The 16,605-nt window shown below is 45.9% G+C and overlaps 1 protein-coding gene across 17 annotated transcripts in view, besides 2 other annotated features; it reads right to left on the reverse strand.

The window, feature by feature from the left end:
- LRRC20 (leucine rich repeat containing 20) overlaps positions 1–16,605 on the reverse strand; it is an 83,651-nt gene that overhangs the window by 43,851 nt on the left and 23,195 nt on the right. The window lies entirely within an intron of this gene.
- Positions 12,521–12,620: an enhancer, noted in NCBI's record as "active region_3501". NCBI's record gives its function as "activates an Ori minimal core promoter by ATAC-STARR-seq in GM12878 lymphoblastoid cells {active_cell/tissue: GM12878}" and the evidence as "EXISTENCE:reporter gene assay evidence [ECO:0000049][PMID:35858748]".
- Positions 12,841–13,050: an enhancer, noted in NCBI's record as "active region_3502". NCBI's record gives its function as "activates an Ori minimal core promoter by ATAC-STARR-seq in GM12878 lymphoblastoid cells {active_cell/tissue: GM12878}" and the evidence as "EXISTENCE:reporter gene assay evidence [ECO:0000049][PMID:35858748]".

Consider the following 16,605-nt stretch of genomic DNA (forward strand, 5'->3'; position numbering starts at 1 on the left):
CCCCCAACCTCGAACCCCAGCAGCACTCATCGAGCGTGACAGCACCACCCCATTTATCTCTCAGAAACTCTCATCTTTTCCCCAAAGAGGCCAGGCTCTCCCAGGCTTCTAAGCCTTTGACGATTGCTCCAAAATAAACATGTGAAACTCAATATTTCTATATGCCAGCAATAAAATATGGTTTTAAAAGATTCTATTCCTAACAGCAACAATAATATGAAATACATGGAAATAATCACAATTGAAGCCTTTCTCCCTCATCTGCCTCACAGAATTTCCAAGACCCAGCTCAAATGTCACCTTCTCCATGAAGCTTTCTCTGACTGTCCTAAGCAGTTAGTTGCTCCACAAGCTGAGCCTCATATAATGCGAACAAGACCTCTTCACCCTGTGTTGTATTAATCCCTTTTTGTGCTATCTTCCCAGTGGACTGGGAAGACACCCAGAGCATAGTACCAGAAGTCCAGCAGACTCATGGGTAAGGCAGGGGTTCCAGTTGACCTCACAGATGTGGTTTTGGGGGGGAAAAGGGACAGGTGGGAAAAGGGCAAAAGTACAGATGACTGAGGGTCCACAGGGCTCCTCTGCCAGGCAGCCTATAAGGGGTGTTGTTAATGCCTCCTCTGGTCCAGGGCTGCACTTGGTAACCCAGCCCTGCGGCTGCCCAGTGTCAAGCACCAGCTCTTCTATCAGCAGGTGGGGTTGGCAGGAGAGACTGCTAAATCCTGCCAGGGAGGAACAAGCTCCCAAAAGTCAGGCTTTCAGAAGAGAGAAAGCAAGGGCTGAGCTGGAAGCAAACAGGCACTGTGGGCTCAGAGTTTGGGGCAACCTGGGGATTCTAAAAAGAGTAATCGTTCCAAACAACAAGCCCTCTAGTGCTCTGTGACCGATATATTAAGGGCTGGAAAGAAGTTTTGTTGGAGTTGTTGTGAATTACACCAGTCCCTTTGGGTAGGAGTAGGCAGATCTCATCATACATCCCAGGAGCAACATCAAAGTAATGGAAGAAGCTTTCCCTTTAAAACAAAGAGCAAAATAAGGATGTCTTTCATCACCAGTATCCCTAAATAGCATCATGAAAGTTCTTGCCAGGCCGGGCATGGTGTCTCATGTCTGTAAATCCAGTACATTGGGAGACCAAAGTGGAAGGATTGCTTGAGCCCAGGAGTTTGAGACTAGCCTGGGCAACATAGTGAGACCCTGTCTCTACAGAAAACATTTAAAAACTAGCTGGGCATGGTGGTGTGTGCCTGTAGTCGCAGATACTTGGGGGTTGAAGTGGGAAGAAGATCGCTTGAACCCAAGAGGTCAAGGCTGCAGTGAGCCTCTACACTTCACTGCACTCCAGCCTGAGTGACAGTGAGACCTTGTCTGAAAAAAAGAAAAGAAAATAAAAAAAAGAAAAGAAAAGAAAAGTCAAGTCAGGTCTGGCTAATTAAATAGAAAGCACAGACATTGAAAACAGACAAAATGATTCTTAGGTGCATATGAAATGACTGTATAACCTCAGAAACCCAAAACAGTCATGTGACAAACAACATAAATTAAAATGGTCTCAGCAAAGCGGCTAATCAAATAAGCATGCAAAAGGCAATGATATTCCTATGCACCAGCAAGAAAATACAGTTTTTAAAGATACTATTCCTAACAACAATATAAAATATAGAGAAATGAGCATAATGAAAAATGTATCTGACCAATATAAAAAAAAAGTAGAAAAGTTCACAAAGATATTTATTTTCGTTTTGTTTTGTTTATTGAGACAGGGTCTCGCTCTGTCACCCAGGCTGGAGTGCAGTGGCACGATCTCGGCTCACTGCAGCCTCGAACTCCTGGGCTTAAACGATCCTCCCACCTCAGCTTCCCGGGTAGCTGGGACTACAGGCACGTGCCATCAAACCCGGCTAATTTTTGTATTTTTTGTAGAGATGGAGTTTTGCCATGTTACTCAGGCTAGTCTTGAATTCCTGAGCCCAAGTGATCTGCCCACCTAGGCCTCCCGAAGTGCTAGGATTATAGTCACGAGCCACGGCACCCGGCCCACAAAGACATTTTTAAAAATAGTTTTGTATGTGAAGATATAACATGTCCATTGATGACAAGTCAAAATATTGAAACACCGGTTTTTTAAAGAAATTAATTTATATATTGTTGAATGTAACTACTACACAAATCCTCACAAGGTTTTTTATTTATTTTTAAGTTAACTAAATGGTTTTAAAGTTCAACTAGGGAAATCTATAAGCAAGACCCTCTTAAAAAGGTGAGGTTATAACCAATATTATAAGCCTAAAATAATTAAAACAGAGGGCAAAATGGAAAATAGATCATAGAAAGAAATTATGTAGTTCAAAAAATATAGTCCAGAAATAATGTCATAATAAATGCTAAAGGAAGCTTCACAAATAAACTGGAGAGGGAAGGATTAATCAACTGATGTCAGAATAACCCCTTAACAATTCTGAGAAAGACTCAATCTAAGAATCAAAATACATCCTAGATAGAATTACACGTTAAATATTTTTAAACCAAATTAAAAAAAGTAAACTTAATTGAACATTTATACAACCTCTTAAGTGAGGATGACTTCCCAAATCTAGGAGCATAACAGAATCACAAAGGAACAGATCAACAAAACTAACTGCATTAAAAAAATATAAAACACTTAGAAGCTTAAAAAGAGTAAAGCAAACAACAGGGATCTGTAAATAGGATGCATACAGAGTCATCTTTATTACTGAAACTACTCAATATAATTGAATAAAGAAAAAATTAAGACCACCTGAGAAGGAAAGGACGTAAGATATTTACAAAGGAAAAAACATAATTAGTAAACAAATATATAGCTCCTGATGTGTTTCCAAATTGCTTTCCAGAATATTTATGCCAATTTACATGTAACCTATCCAACAAATAATAGAATCATTAAAAAGAAAAGAAAGCCTTGCTAAGTTGATCAAGGGAAATGGTATCCTGCTTTAATTTGCAATATTTTCAATAATGAGACTGACTGTCTTTCATGGTTAATTAACTGTTTTTCAGCTAGGCATGGTGGCTCACACCTGTAATCCCCAAGGTTGGAGGATCACTTGAGGCCAGTTCACAACCAACCTGGGCAACACAGCAAGACCCGTCTCTACAAAAAATAAAATACGGCTGGATATGGTGGCTCACACTGTAATCCCATCATTTTGAGGGGCCGAGGCAGGGAGATCACTTGAGTTTGAGACCAGCCTGGCCAACATGATGAAACCCTATCTCTACTAAAAATACAAAATTTAGCCAGGTGTGGTGACGGGCGCTTGTAATCCCAGCTACTCAGGAGGCTGAGGCAGGAGAACTGCCTGAACCCGGGAGGCCAAGATTGTATCACTGCACTCCAGCCTAGGCGACAGAATGACAGAGAGACTCTGTCTCAAAAAAATAAATAAATAAAATAAATTTGCTTGACGTGGTGGTGCCTGTGTGTAGTTCCAGGTACTCGGGAGGATGAGGTGGGAGGATCACTTGGGTCCAGTTCAAGGCTGCAGTAAGCTATGATTGCATCACTGCACTCAAGCTGGGCAACAGAGCAAGACCCTATCTCTAATAAAATAAAGTAAATATTAATTAACCATTTGTTTCCCCTATGGAAAATCCTATCCATGTCTCACTATTTTTCTACTTGGAGCTCTGGCATTTTTTTCTCCCAAATGTTTGTAGAGCTCTTTAAATAGTATTATCAACCCAGGTGTGTTGATTGTTTCTCTTGTTGAATCATTCATGTTACAGAGCGTAGGGTTTTTTTCTGAAGCAGGACATAAAAACCATATGCACATTGTAATTCCAACTAGGTATAAAAGGATACATGCCTGGGAAAGACAATAGAAAGAAAAATAACCAGAATGCTAACAGTGGTTATTTCAAAGGATTTGAGCAATTTGTTACTAAATTATAGTCTTCATGGTTGTTTACTTTATACAAAGTAAGTAAAATACCATTCTATATTTATATAAAACCATTTGCCAAGTATCTGTATACAGTGATACTTTACTTTTAAAATAAAAAATTAATGTATCATAAAATTAGCTATTTTTCTGAGACAGGATCTCGCTCTGCCACCCAGGCTGGAGGGCAGTGGCGTGATCTCGGCTCACTGCTACCTTCACCTCCCAAGCTCAAGTGATTCTCCCACCTCAGCCTCCCAAGTAGCTGGGACTACAGGTGCATGCCACCATGCCCTGCTAATTTTTGTATTTTTAGTAGAGACAGTGTTTCACCATGCTGCCCAGGCTGGTCTTGAACTCCTGGCCTCAAGTGATCCACCTGCCTCATGTTCCCTAAGTGCTAAAGTTAACTTTTATTGGAAAAAATAACCTGGCAAATTCGCAGATAAATTGAGGGCAGCCAGCTCTTCGTCAGTGAGGGAAATAGGGAAAAGCAGATCCAAGAAACACAGGAACTCTGCATTGGGCTGGGGCAGAGCTGTGAATAGGAGCTTTCAGGGACCACCACTCCCCACAGTAGGGAGAGAAAGTGCTTACAACGGAGGAAGAAGCCATAAAGCCATGCAAGTTATTTCCAAGGGTACTCAAAGCAGCCTGTCTTTCCGGAGTAGATCAGCCCAGAAATGTCCAGCCCACAGTCCCATTCCGACCACCTGGGCCATCTACACACCATCCCAACCTCACACCACCCACCCTTCCAGTCTCTGATTTAGGCAACATACAAGTGCCGGGCACGGTGGCTCACGTGTGTAATTCCCAGCACTTTGGGAGGCCGAGGCGGGCAAATCACTTGAGGTCAGGAGTTCAAGACCAGCCTAGCCAACATGGTGAAACCCCATCTTTACTAAAAATACAAAAATCTGCCGGGTGTGGTGGCGCGTCCTATAATCCCAGCTACTTGGGGGGCTGAGGTGGGAGAATTGCTTGAGCCTGGGAGGAGGAGGTTACAGTGAGCCGAGATCACACCACTATACTCCAGCCTGGGCAACAGAGCGAGACTCCGTCTCAAAAAAAAAAAAAAACCCAAAAAACACACACACACAAAAAACAAGCAACATACAAGCCCTCTGCGGCTTCATCTGGCCAACTGACACACCGCAAGGCCACATTAGAGGATGCCGAGGGCCTGGAATGTCACCTCCGACACCTGCTTCTTTCTTTCACTCTCCACAAATAGCTATCGAGGCCCTCCTGTGTGCCAGGTACTGATCTGCACAGTATCCTGTGACTTACCTATGACTTTTTTGTGTCCCCAGGGATTCCATCTGTTTTCTCCATTATGTGACCCCTCCAGTACCCACCAGAGGCCAGGATGCATGAGAGGGGTGCACCACCAAGCTCCTACCCAGAACAGCCTGGCTGCCACCAACGTCAAAGGCAATCCAGGAGTTCCACAGAAGGGCCCTGCTGGGATGTGATGCAAACACCCCTCATCCCAGCCCCATCACCAGCCACTAACACAGCACATGGACTCTCACCCCTGCTGGGAGGAGAGGTCCATGATCTCCAGAACAGTTCTCCATGGTCCCGGGACAAGAAAATGGAGATCCAGGAGCAAATATCATCCTTACACAGTCATGTTCCCATCTGTACACAAGGAGCAATATGCTGTATGCCACACACGGGGGATGGGAATAATAACAACCATAAACAACACCACTTACTATTTCACATGTGCTATGTAAGTACGAACTATCCCCTCTGCACACAGGAGACTGTAATAAAGTGACTTGCCCCAGGTCATATAGCTAGAAGTGAGGACGGGGAGATTTGGATCCAGGTTAGGTGGATCAGGAAGCCAGGGGTCCCAACCACTCCACTCTACTGCCCCCTTGAGTCAAAAACATGCCTAGGTGCCTGGCTCTAGGCCAGGCCAGAGAAAGGGAGTATATGCTGAACTCCCCCATGGGAAACCGAGGTCTTGTCTACAAACTCCTGTAGGCCCTTCAAGTTCAGAGCCCTCAATGCCTCTGGGGAAAGGGGCCAACAGCCTTCTGCACGAGCCAGTCACCTTCTGTTCTCTGGAAATTCCTCTGCAGGTCTAATTCAGAGGTTGGGCACCATCTATACCCATTCTACCAGTTTGCAGAAGGAAAAAGCCCCATGAGCCCCAAGTTCAATGTTGGGCCCTGAGTTTATAGGAACAGACGGCACTGCTGCCAGAGAACACAGCCAAGATGTGACTGGGGGCCAGGTCCCACTAGGGAAGGGGGGCCCCACCCAGGGAAGAGAAGATCCAGGCTGCAGACAGGAGAGAGTGGTCCTCAAAGAGCTGTGGGATGTCATCGAGAAGGTCTCATTCTCTATGGGTCCTCAGCACAGACAGTATATAGTTCACCAAGGCATAAAGAAAAGGCTCCTGGGTGAGGACGTGAGGACCGCATCAAGCAGCATGGTCAGGCAGAGTCTCCACAGAGAGAATTCCTAAACCAGCAGAGGCCAAGCTGGTGATCTCAAAGGTCCCATTCAAGTTAATAAGCGCAGGGCTGGGCATGGTGGCTCATGCCTGTAATCCCAGCATTTTGGGAGGCTGAGGCAGGTGGATCACCTGAGGTCAGGAGTTCGAGACCAGCCTGGCCAACATGTTAAAACCCTGTCTCTAATAAAAATACAAAAAGTAGTCGGTCGTGGTGGTGCGTGCCTGTAATCCCAGCTACTCAGGAGGCTGAGGCAGGAGAATTGCTTGAACCGAGGAGGCAGAGGTTGCAGTGAGCAGAGATCGTGCCACTGCACTCCAGCCTGGGCAACAGAGCAAGACTCTGTCTCAATAAACAAATAAATAAATAAAATAAACACAGCTAACAGCACTGAGTATTTGCTATGTGCCAGACACAGTTCTAGGCACTTTTTCTATAGTAACTCATTTAATTCCTTTGACAACCTGAGTTACCCTCACAGCAGGAGAATGAGGCACATGTTGATAGGTAAATTGTCCATGGTCATTGTGGTACAGTGATGGGATCTGAATGCAAAGATTCAAAACCAAAGATTCAAGTAGGGTGACGAGTAGGGCAGTTTAAGCAGGACTTTCCTAATTTTAGCATTGAGAGTCTTGCATCCTGGGGAATCCCTCCTCAGTCACTGGCAGATTGGGATGTTTAGGGTCACCCTAGATTCAGGTGGATGGATGAGAGTTCTACAGACAAAAAGGAGAGAGGGAAGGGAACCCAGGAGTGAGCCACAGCATGAGCAAAGGACTGTCACCCCTCTGGGACTCCCTCCTTGAGCTCTGCCTTCTTCTACACTTTCTCAGAGCCTCGCCCATGCTGCATGAATGCTCAGAGAAGAAGGCTCCTGGCATTGGAATCATTTAGTGCTAAATGGCGGTCACAGACCCCGACAGGGGTCAGGAATGGCATGGTAGGTAAGGGGCAATGCCAGGCTCCTCCAGCACCATGTAGACAGCAGCTAGACTTTCCCTAGCAGCCCCAGCCACTGACACCTGGGCTGCAGCAGGGAACAGAAAGATCCTTGGGGGAGGCGGTAGCAGTACAATAAACACAAGCTGTGATGATCCTCCTAATTACAATTATTATTGCAAGAAGACCAAACTGCATGTCCCCAAACTTCTAATTAGAACAGTTTTTTGCATTAATAAAGAAGCCTTTTATTCAAATTGCTTGGGTCCTTTATTAAAGCTTATCTCGTTAATTCTAATGAATGCTTGATGAAAAGTAATCAGTGGGCAGAACCAGGGCAGAAGGAGCAAAATCCAAGAAGACAGAACACTCAGCTGGAATTCAGGAGCGCCTGATTGAGCTTGCATGGTGACTTAGAAATATAGAACTTTGACCCCTGCCAGCCCCTGCTGAGAAGTGGGCCTGGTGACAGGGCCCAAGAGTGGGAAATGGAGCAGGACTTCCCTGCCAACCAAGTCACAGGGCCCAGAGGCGAGGGTGTCAGGGACTCAGGCCAGTAGGCACATGGGCTTGTGACCTAGCCAAGAAGTAAGGCTCCCAAGGCTACTGGAGGAACTCTGTGGCCAGTGTGACCCACTCCCACTGAGAAGCTTTCTTCATGGAATCTCAGGGTTAGGAGACCGGGGGTCCTTTGGCCGACGTTTGCCAAACTTCTGAGTTAGAATCAACTGAAGGCTGGGCACAGTGGCTCATGCCTGTAATCCTAGCACTTTGGGAGACTGAGGCAGGATTGCTTGAACCAAGGAGTTTGAGACCAGCCTGGGCAACACAGTGAGACCCTGTCTCTAGAAAAATAAAAAATTAGCCAGTCATGGTGGTGCACACCTGTAGTCCCAGCTACTCAGGAGGCTGAGGTGGGAGGATTGCTTGAGCCTAGGAAGTCAGGGCTGCAGTGAGCCGAGATCGTGCCATGGCACTCCAGCCTAGGTGACAGAGTGAGACCCTGTCTCAGAAAGAAAAAAAAAAAAGAGACAATCATCTGAAGAGGCTGGTCCTTTCATCCTCCCCCAGATATTCTACCTTTCAGTGAATCTGGGATGGTGCCATGAAATTTGTTTTTAACAATATCCCCAGGTGATTCTTATCAATAGGCAAACTTGGGAAACACTGAGTAACACAGCCTCCAATCTGAGGCCTGAAATCTCTCCATGTCTCCATCTGAGGTCATAGAGTTCTCCTTGAACACTGGTGATGGGAGGGCTCCCTCCTCCTTCCATAGAATGAGTTTAATTGTTAGAGAGTTCTTTAACGAACTGTATTAATAACTGCCACCCTTCACCACTCACCAGTCCTGCTGCCCTCTCTTCTGCATGGCAATCCTTCACATAAATGATGACAAAGGACATTATAAACATTTTCTTTTTAATTATTGTAAAATACACATAACAAAAATTTAGCGAGCGATATGACCAAGTTTTACGGGAAAACTCCCGTGATTTTCAATCAAACATTGCATAAGTAGCCAAGGAGCAATGAATAGCAGCAACTAGAATCATGGAAGCCATGCATCTATAGGCATGAGGAATGGGAGGGATGTCTAACACGTCCAGTGTGAGTTGTGGAGGGAAATGTAATTGATCGATCCTAATCACTGACTCTTGGTCAACTTTACAGTTTCTGCAATACAAGCTTGTGATTTATGCTTACTCTCTAGTGGAAATCAGGATTGTTATGAAGACTTAAGGCTCAATATTTTTTAACACAATACTCATCTAGGATGTAACAGTGAAGCCGAGTAAACTACAACTGTTGAGCAAGTTCCAGCTTTTCTCAAGTTAGTTATATTATAGGGTGTACTTAGTAAGCATATTTAGGTGAAAGAAGTTGAATTATGTTAAATGTTGCCCTTTGCCACATTACACTGAACACTGGATGCATGTGGAAAGACATGCTTTGTTTTTTGTAAAACTCAAGGTAGGAGCTGTGTCTAGAAACATTTTGGCATGTTTGTTAATTCTAGTTTCACTTAATAACTTGTAAGGCATGTACGTTTAAGCTTTTTTTTTTTTTAAGTTAATGGGAAAAATCTGAAACGCAATACCAATACTTTAGAATTTTGGCCTTGGTGTTTGTATGAAATTCTGAGGCCTTGATTTAAATCTTTCATTGTAGTGTGACTTCCTTTTAGGTATATTGTGCTAAGTGAAACTTGTCAAATAAATCCTCCTTTTAAAAACTGCTAAAAAAAATGTAGCATTTTATCAGTGGCAAGGGATTAGCAGGCAGAGCACAGAGGATTCTCAGGCGGTGAAAGTGACATGTGGCAGACACATGTCATTATACATTAATCTGAGCCTAAGGCTGTACAACACCAGGAGTGAACCCTAATGTGAACCATGGACTTTGGGTAACAATGATGCACCAACGTAGGTTCACCAATTGTAGTAAATATGCCCCTCTGGTGGGGGATGTTGATCATGGAGAAGGCAATGCCTGTTTGTGGGCAGTGGGGAGTATATTGGAAAATCTCTATTCTTAACTCTTAATTTTGCTTGTGAACCTTGTGAACCTAACACTCCCCTTTAAAAATTAAATATTTTTTAAAATGTGCCATCTTAACCATTTTTAAATGTACAGTTCAGTAGCTTTAAGTATATTTACATTGTTGTGCAATCAACTAATCTCCAGGACTTTTGCATCTTGCGAAACGGAAACTCTTTACTTGTTAACCCCCTATTTTCCCATCCCCCAGCTGCTGGCAACCACAGAACATTATAAACTTTTTTCCAGGCAAAAACATCCCCAGAAACTTCAATCCTCATGGTTCTGGCTGCTCCCGTGAGAGGAGCAGGACCAACCTAGCTCAGACTCTGGCCTGGCCAGAACTTTCTCCTGCACCGGTGTTGAGTCTCTAACACATAACTGCAGCCACCACTGATTGACACCAGGTGTGTTCCAGAAGCTGTGCTGGGGCTTCAGACCTTTTATTCCCTCCATTCCTCACAACCACCCTATAAATAGGTCACTACTATGCTTACCCCTGGTTAACAGTTAAGGAAACTGAGTCATGGAGAAGTCAAACAAATTGTTCTAAGTCATATGACTTATTCAAGGTCAACCAGTTAATGAAATAATAAAAAACATTTACAAAGTGCCTGCTGCTTGCAATTAGTGATCTCAGCTTGTCATGCATTAACTCAGTTAACCCCCACAACATCACAACATCCCCATGAGACAGGCACTATTTTGTATTTTTTATTTTTTTGAGACAGAGTCTCACTCTGTCACCCAGGCTGGAGTGCAGTGGTGTAATCTCGGCTCACTGCAACCTCCGCCTCCTGGGTTCAAGTGAGTCTCCTGCCTCAGCCTCCTGAGTAGCTGGGACTACAGGCATGCACCACCACGCCCAACTAATTTTTGTATTTTTAGTAGAGAAGGGGTTTCACCATGTTGGCCAGGCTGGTCTCGAACTCCTGACCTCAGATGATCCATGAGATGGGCACTATTATTACTATTCCTGTTGTACAGAGGAGGAATCAAGACACAGAGCCAGGAGTCTTGGTTAGTAAGCTGCTGAGCTTAAGGGTTTGCTCCTAACCACCATGCTACACTGCCTCCCTAGAATATGTAACCCGCATTCAGGACAGCCTGCCATGCTGAAACAGATTGGGAGGTGGTGGGTTTCCAATGAGCAGATAGATCTTCCATGATTTACAATGGGTTCCCTGGGAACACTAGTATATTGCAGTTCCCATGGAACTATATAAAAGGGGACTTAGAGTTGAAAGAGCTGGTGAAAGAGTCATCAGGGTATCAACAGCCTGGATTTGTCACTTACTGTCTGTGGGACCTTGGGTCCTTATGCCCTTAGTTTTCAAATCTTGGTAAATTGCAACTGATCATCTCCAAGGCCCCTTGCAGCTGCCACTGTGGATTCTAGGACTTGGCCACAACCAGGAGCCACCTTGGGAGCTCTATAGACTCTTGATGCCTAAGTCTCTCTCCCAGAGAGTCTGATTTAATTAGTGGGGGCTGGGGCTTGGGAATGGAAGGGAGGGTAAAAGCTCCCTGGGTGACTCTAACGTGCAGCCAGGTGAACTCTGCACCATACCATCACCTCTCAAACTAAAGTGTGACACCTGGGGACACTGCCAACGTGCAGATTCTGATGCCACATGTCTAGGTGGGGCGTAAGAGTCTGCATTTCCACCCAGCAGGTCCAAGGACCACACTAAGTAGCAAGGGCTACTCCAGTGCAGTGGTTCTCCAAGGGCATCAGCATCACCCACAGCATTAGCATCACCCCAGAACTTGTCAGAAAGGCACATTCTCAGGCACCACCCCAGTCCCACAGAATCAGAAACTCTGGGGGTAAGGCCCAGGCATCTGTGTTTTAGCTGAAGCATCACTGGCCTAGAGGGGCCAGGCCTCCTCCTGATGTAGCTGCTTCCTGTATTGATGATGATAATGGGGTGGTAATGACAGTAACTGAGTGCTGGCTGCTCCTGCCTGCCTAAGGGCATGAGGTTTACACGCTCATGGAAATTTTTTGTGCCCTGGGTTCCTCCTGCTTCCCCTCTGAGCAGACTATTTCAGGACAGAGCAGCAGAGACAGAGTCTCTTCACTCTCTTCTCTCGCTTTGTTCATGCTTCTGGTACTCAGAGGCACACGTGACCCTCGGTGTGGAGGCCGCCCTGGGCTGTAACTCAGGAGGCCTAATTCTTATCCCAGCCCCTCCACTATCAGCCAGGGGGAGCTCAGAGACACTACTTCTTCATGGGCCTTGTCCCCTCATCTGTAAAATGAGGGTTTGGACTAGATGATTTGGGGTCTCAACCAGACCAGACATCCTCTGACTCCATGATTCTACTAAACAAAGGCTCTTCAGACAGCCCTCTGTCAAACAGGAGCCCCCCATGACTTGAGCTGCCAGTCTCTGAAATGTCACTCAATTTCCAAAGTAGGGACACACAGGATGCAGACAGCGAGCAAAACAACTGCTCATCAAGGGATCGTGCCGTGCATCACTGGGCACAATTAGGCATCACTTTAACAAAGCTGTTTGTTGTAGTGCTTACAGAGCTGGCTGGCTCTAAAAGGCTTAAGACAAAAAGCAGCCGGACTTGCTCCCTCTTGACAAATCCCCTCCCCCAGGGACAACCACTTTCAGGTCTTTGGGGGTGTTTTACTCCCGATCTCTAGAGCAATGTTTCTGAGCCTGTTTCCTGTCTCATGCCCCTTATAGAGAAAAGGGCATGGGAGGAAGAGCTCACCGAGGACCACATACGTCCAGAAAGTCCCACCGCAATAGCACACACAGCTACTGGGCCCGGGAGGGTTGTCGGGAAGAGAAGGGCAGAAAGGCACTTCGGGAAGGCGCGTCTTCTGAGACGTGGGGAAACCACTCAACTTGAAAGTGCCAGTGGGTTTAGGGGGATTTTTTTCTTTCACTTCCTATTTCATGGACTTGTATATTGTGCAAGAGTTTTACAAGCACTTAATGACTTCTTACAAATATCTCCAGTTTAAAGAAAGGAACATCCCCAACATGCAGTGACCCTTGGGGTATGTTTTTCCTCAAACGCCCAAAAACCTGGATCAGTGGAGATGGGTGTTGATGGGGACATAGGGAACAGAGCTAAAGTCCTGCCAGGGCAAAGCTCACGGGAGCTGCTGGGGAGAGCAGCCGCACGCTCAGAGGGCTGTGTGGACACCCCTCTGACAAACGCACACACGAATCCTGCATCTCAGAGGTGCCTTCTCACGTCCTGCTGCAGAAGCCCCTGCCTCTCTAGGAAATAATGTGCTACAGAGAGTTGGCCTCAGAGAAGAAAGCTGAGCATGAGGCCCTCCAGCCAGTGGCTATCATACTCAGTCAGAATAACTTCTAACCACACAAGAGACCTAGAAAGCAATATCTTCTTCTCAGAATCCAAATTGAATCCTTTCTTGGGCCAACTCTTTCTTGCTGTGGGACCTCAGGCAAGTTACTTAACTCCAATCTCAGTTTCTTCTTCAGTAAAGTGAGGACAAGAGCTCTTTCAAAAACCTGTATGCAATCTGGGCATGGTGGCTCACGCCCGTAACCCAAGCACTTTGGGAGGCCAAGGTGGGAGGATCACTTAAGTTCAAGAGTTCAAGACCATCCTGGGCAACACAGTAAAACCCTGGTTCTATAAAAAATACAAAAAGTAGCTGGGTGTGGTAGTGCATGCCTGTAGTCCCAGCTAGCTACTTGGGAGGCTGTGGTGGGAGGATCGCTTGAGCTTGGGAGGCAGAGGTTGCAGTGAGCCAAGATCATGCCACTGCACCCCAGCCTGGGCAACAGAGCCAGACCTTTTGAGACTTTGTCTCAAAAAAATAAAAACAAATAAATAAAGTTTTAAAACCTGTATGTAGTGCTGGGCAGAGTAGCTCACACCTGTAATCCCAGCACTTTGGGAGGCCGAGGCGGGCAGATCACGAGGTTAGGAGTTTGAGACCAGCCTGGCCAATATGGTGAAACCCCGTCTCTACTAAAAATACAAAAATTAGCAGGGTGTGGTGGCAGGTGCCTGTAGTCACAGCTACTCAGGAGGCTGAGGCAGAAGAATTGCTTGAACCCAGGAGGCGGAGGTTGCAGTGAGCCAAGATCGCGCCACTGCACTCCAGCCTGGGCAACAGAATGAGACTCCACCTCAAAACAAAACAAAACAAAAAACAAAGCAAAACAAAAAAAAACACCTGTATATAAATGTTCACAGCAGCATTTTCACAATAGTTGAAAAGTGGAGACAATCCAAATGTCCATCAGCTGATGAACAGATAAAGGACATGTCATATATCCATTCAATGGAATATTATTCAGCCATAAAAAGGAATGAAATCCTGACATGGGCTGCAACATGAATGAACCTTGAAAACATTTTGCTATGTGAAGGAAGCCAGTCACAAAAGGACAAATGTTGCATGATTCCATTTACATAAAATGTCCAGAAGAGGCAATCTATAGAGACAGAAAGTAGACTGGTAATGGCCTGGGGCTGGGCGGAGATCAGGAAATGGGAAAGGACTCCGCATGGTACAGGGTTTCTTTTTTGGGTGATGAAAATGGCTTAGAATTAGACAGCAGTGATGGTTATACAATCTTGTGAATATACAAATAAATACTGCATTGTATATTTTAAAATGTAAACGTTACAGTATTTGAATATACCTCAAAAAGAAATGAGGACAACAGGATCCAACGAACAGGTGGTTCTGAGCATGAAATAAAACGTCTGCAAGGCTCTTAGCACAGTGCCTGGCAGGTAGTTTGTGCTCAGTAAGTAAGAGATGCTGCTATGAGGATGCAAAAGTATTACTTTTATTTGAGAATCTGACAAAGATGTGCTTCAGCTCTGTCATCCCTGGAGGAGAGAAATGACCTCTGGATTGCATTTATTCTCACAAGCCCTGGACGAGGAGACAACCGCATGTGCTATCATGGGCTCTGGGACTTTCCAAAAAAAACCCTCCTTCCTGGCAAGCCAGTAAGGAGAAAAGAAGCCCATATTCAATTAAAATCAAAAGTAAATCCCACACAGAATACAATCAAATGACACACAGTCAACAATTTGAGACATTAAATTATTTTGATTTCACTGATGACTCATCACAAACGTATACATACAAAAGGGAATAGAAACAGCAGCCAGGATGACACTAACAGTATGGCCACTAATGGCTCTAAAGGGACCACAGCTGGTCCGAGTGGAGGAGGCCACGTGGCCAAGCCAGACCTTGGAGAGGCTTGGGCAGGCCCTGAGGTCTTCCTGCAAGGAAAGCATCAATCAGTCCCTTTTTGCAGAGAAGGAAACAAAAGCCCAGAGAAGTTAAGAACTTGCTCAAAGCCACACACTAAGTAGGCAAAGGGTAGAGTTTGACATCTTCTTGAGAACATCGCCCTACAGAGAAAGTCCAGAAACCCGGATCTGCTGCTGCCTTTAACCCAGTGTCTTTGGGCAAGTCACTTATGGGGCCTCAACCTCCCTATCTGTGAAACACAGAAATGAACACAGCCTATGTCTCTCCAAATGTGGGATGCACAAAACTACTCTCAAGGTTATCTTCGGGTGTGATGAGATGCCAAACAACGCAATCCACTTGGAGCAGGGCAGAGGGCGAGGGGGCAGCAGATGGAAGCTGCGAGAGCCACACCCGCTGAACCGACACAGCACCCTGGGGATAGAGGGCTGCAGTTACCAACTGACCAGATTTCTACAGCAACTTTCTCCTCCTCGGACAATCTTTCAGGGCTTGATATAGCAAGGAATCCACCCCTGTAAGCAATGGCTTCTCAGAACAGTTGTTTGTCCTCCTGATCTCACAGATGCATGACTGATGGGACCCAGGAAGCAGCAACAAATGTCGCCAACCAGTGCCTTGTGCACCACGTCTGCCCCAGACAGACACCACTGCCTGGCATGGCTGGCCTCAACCACCTGCCACTCCTCAAGCTCACCGACCATGCTGACTGGCTACCGCAGTCTAGAATGCCCCTCCCTCCCCTCTCTGCCCACCAGCCTAGCCCCACCTCCCCAGAAAGGGCACCCACCTCAAACCTCAGGACACTTGTCTTAGCGTGGGACCTGGACTGTTTTCTCCTGGCTGGTAGAGATCTGCAGCCTGCCTCCAGGACCCACAAGAGGTGAGCTTATGTAGGGGCACAGGCAGCCTCTGCGGACCACCCCTCGCACCCAGTACAGCGCTGGGCAAACGCTCTGAACATAGTTACACCCCTCACCATCGGGAAGCTTGGTCTCAGCATCCCACTTTGTAAAATGGGGGTACAAATTCGCTTTTAGGGAATGAAGAAAAGAATGAGCTAATATTTATCTAGGTGTTGAGTTCAAAGCAAGAAACACACTAGTCTGCAGCAAAGTAATTATTCTACTATGGTTTTACTGCAGCCTGAAAGAAACTAGCTCTGTGATCCTGGAATCTGCCTTGACAAAGGCTGTGGCTGTATCTACACAGAAGAATCCCTCTCCCTGCCCTCCAAACCCCAGCCCCGCCCTTCCATTCGAACACCTGAACACCACTTTCCATTACATCACTCTCCCATTCAAGAATCTCCATGCCAGGCCAGGCACAGTCGCTCATGCCTGCAATCCCAGCACTTTGGGAGGCAGAGATGGGAGGATCATTTTAGCCCAGGAGTTCAAGGCCAGCCTGGACAACATAGTGAGACTCCGTCTGTATAAAAAATAAAGTTAACTGGGTGTGGTGGCATGCACCT

The sequence above is a fragment of the Homo sapiens genome, chromosome 10 (assembly GCF_000001405.40).
Source record: "Homo sapiens chromosome 10, GRCh38.p14 Primary Assembly".
Lineage (NCBI taxonomy): Eukaryota > Metazoa > Chordata > Mammalia > Primates > Hominidae > Homo > Homo sapiens.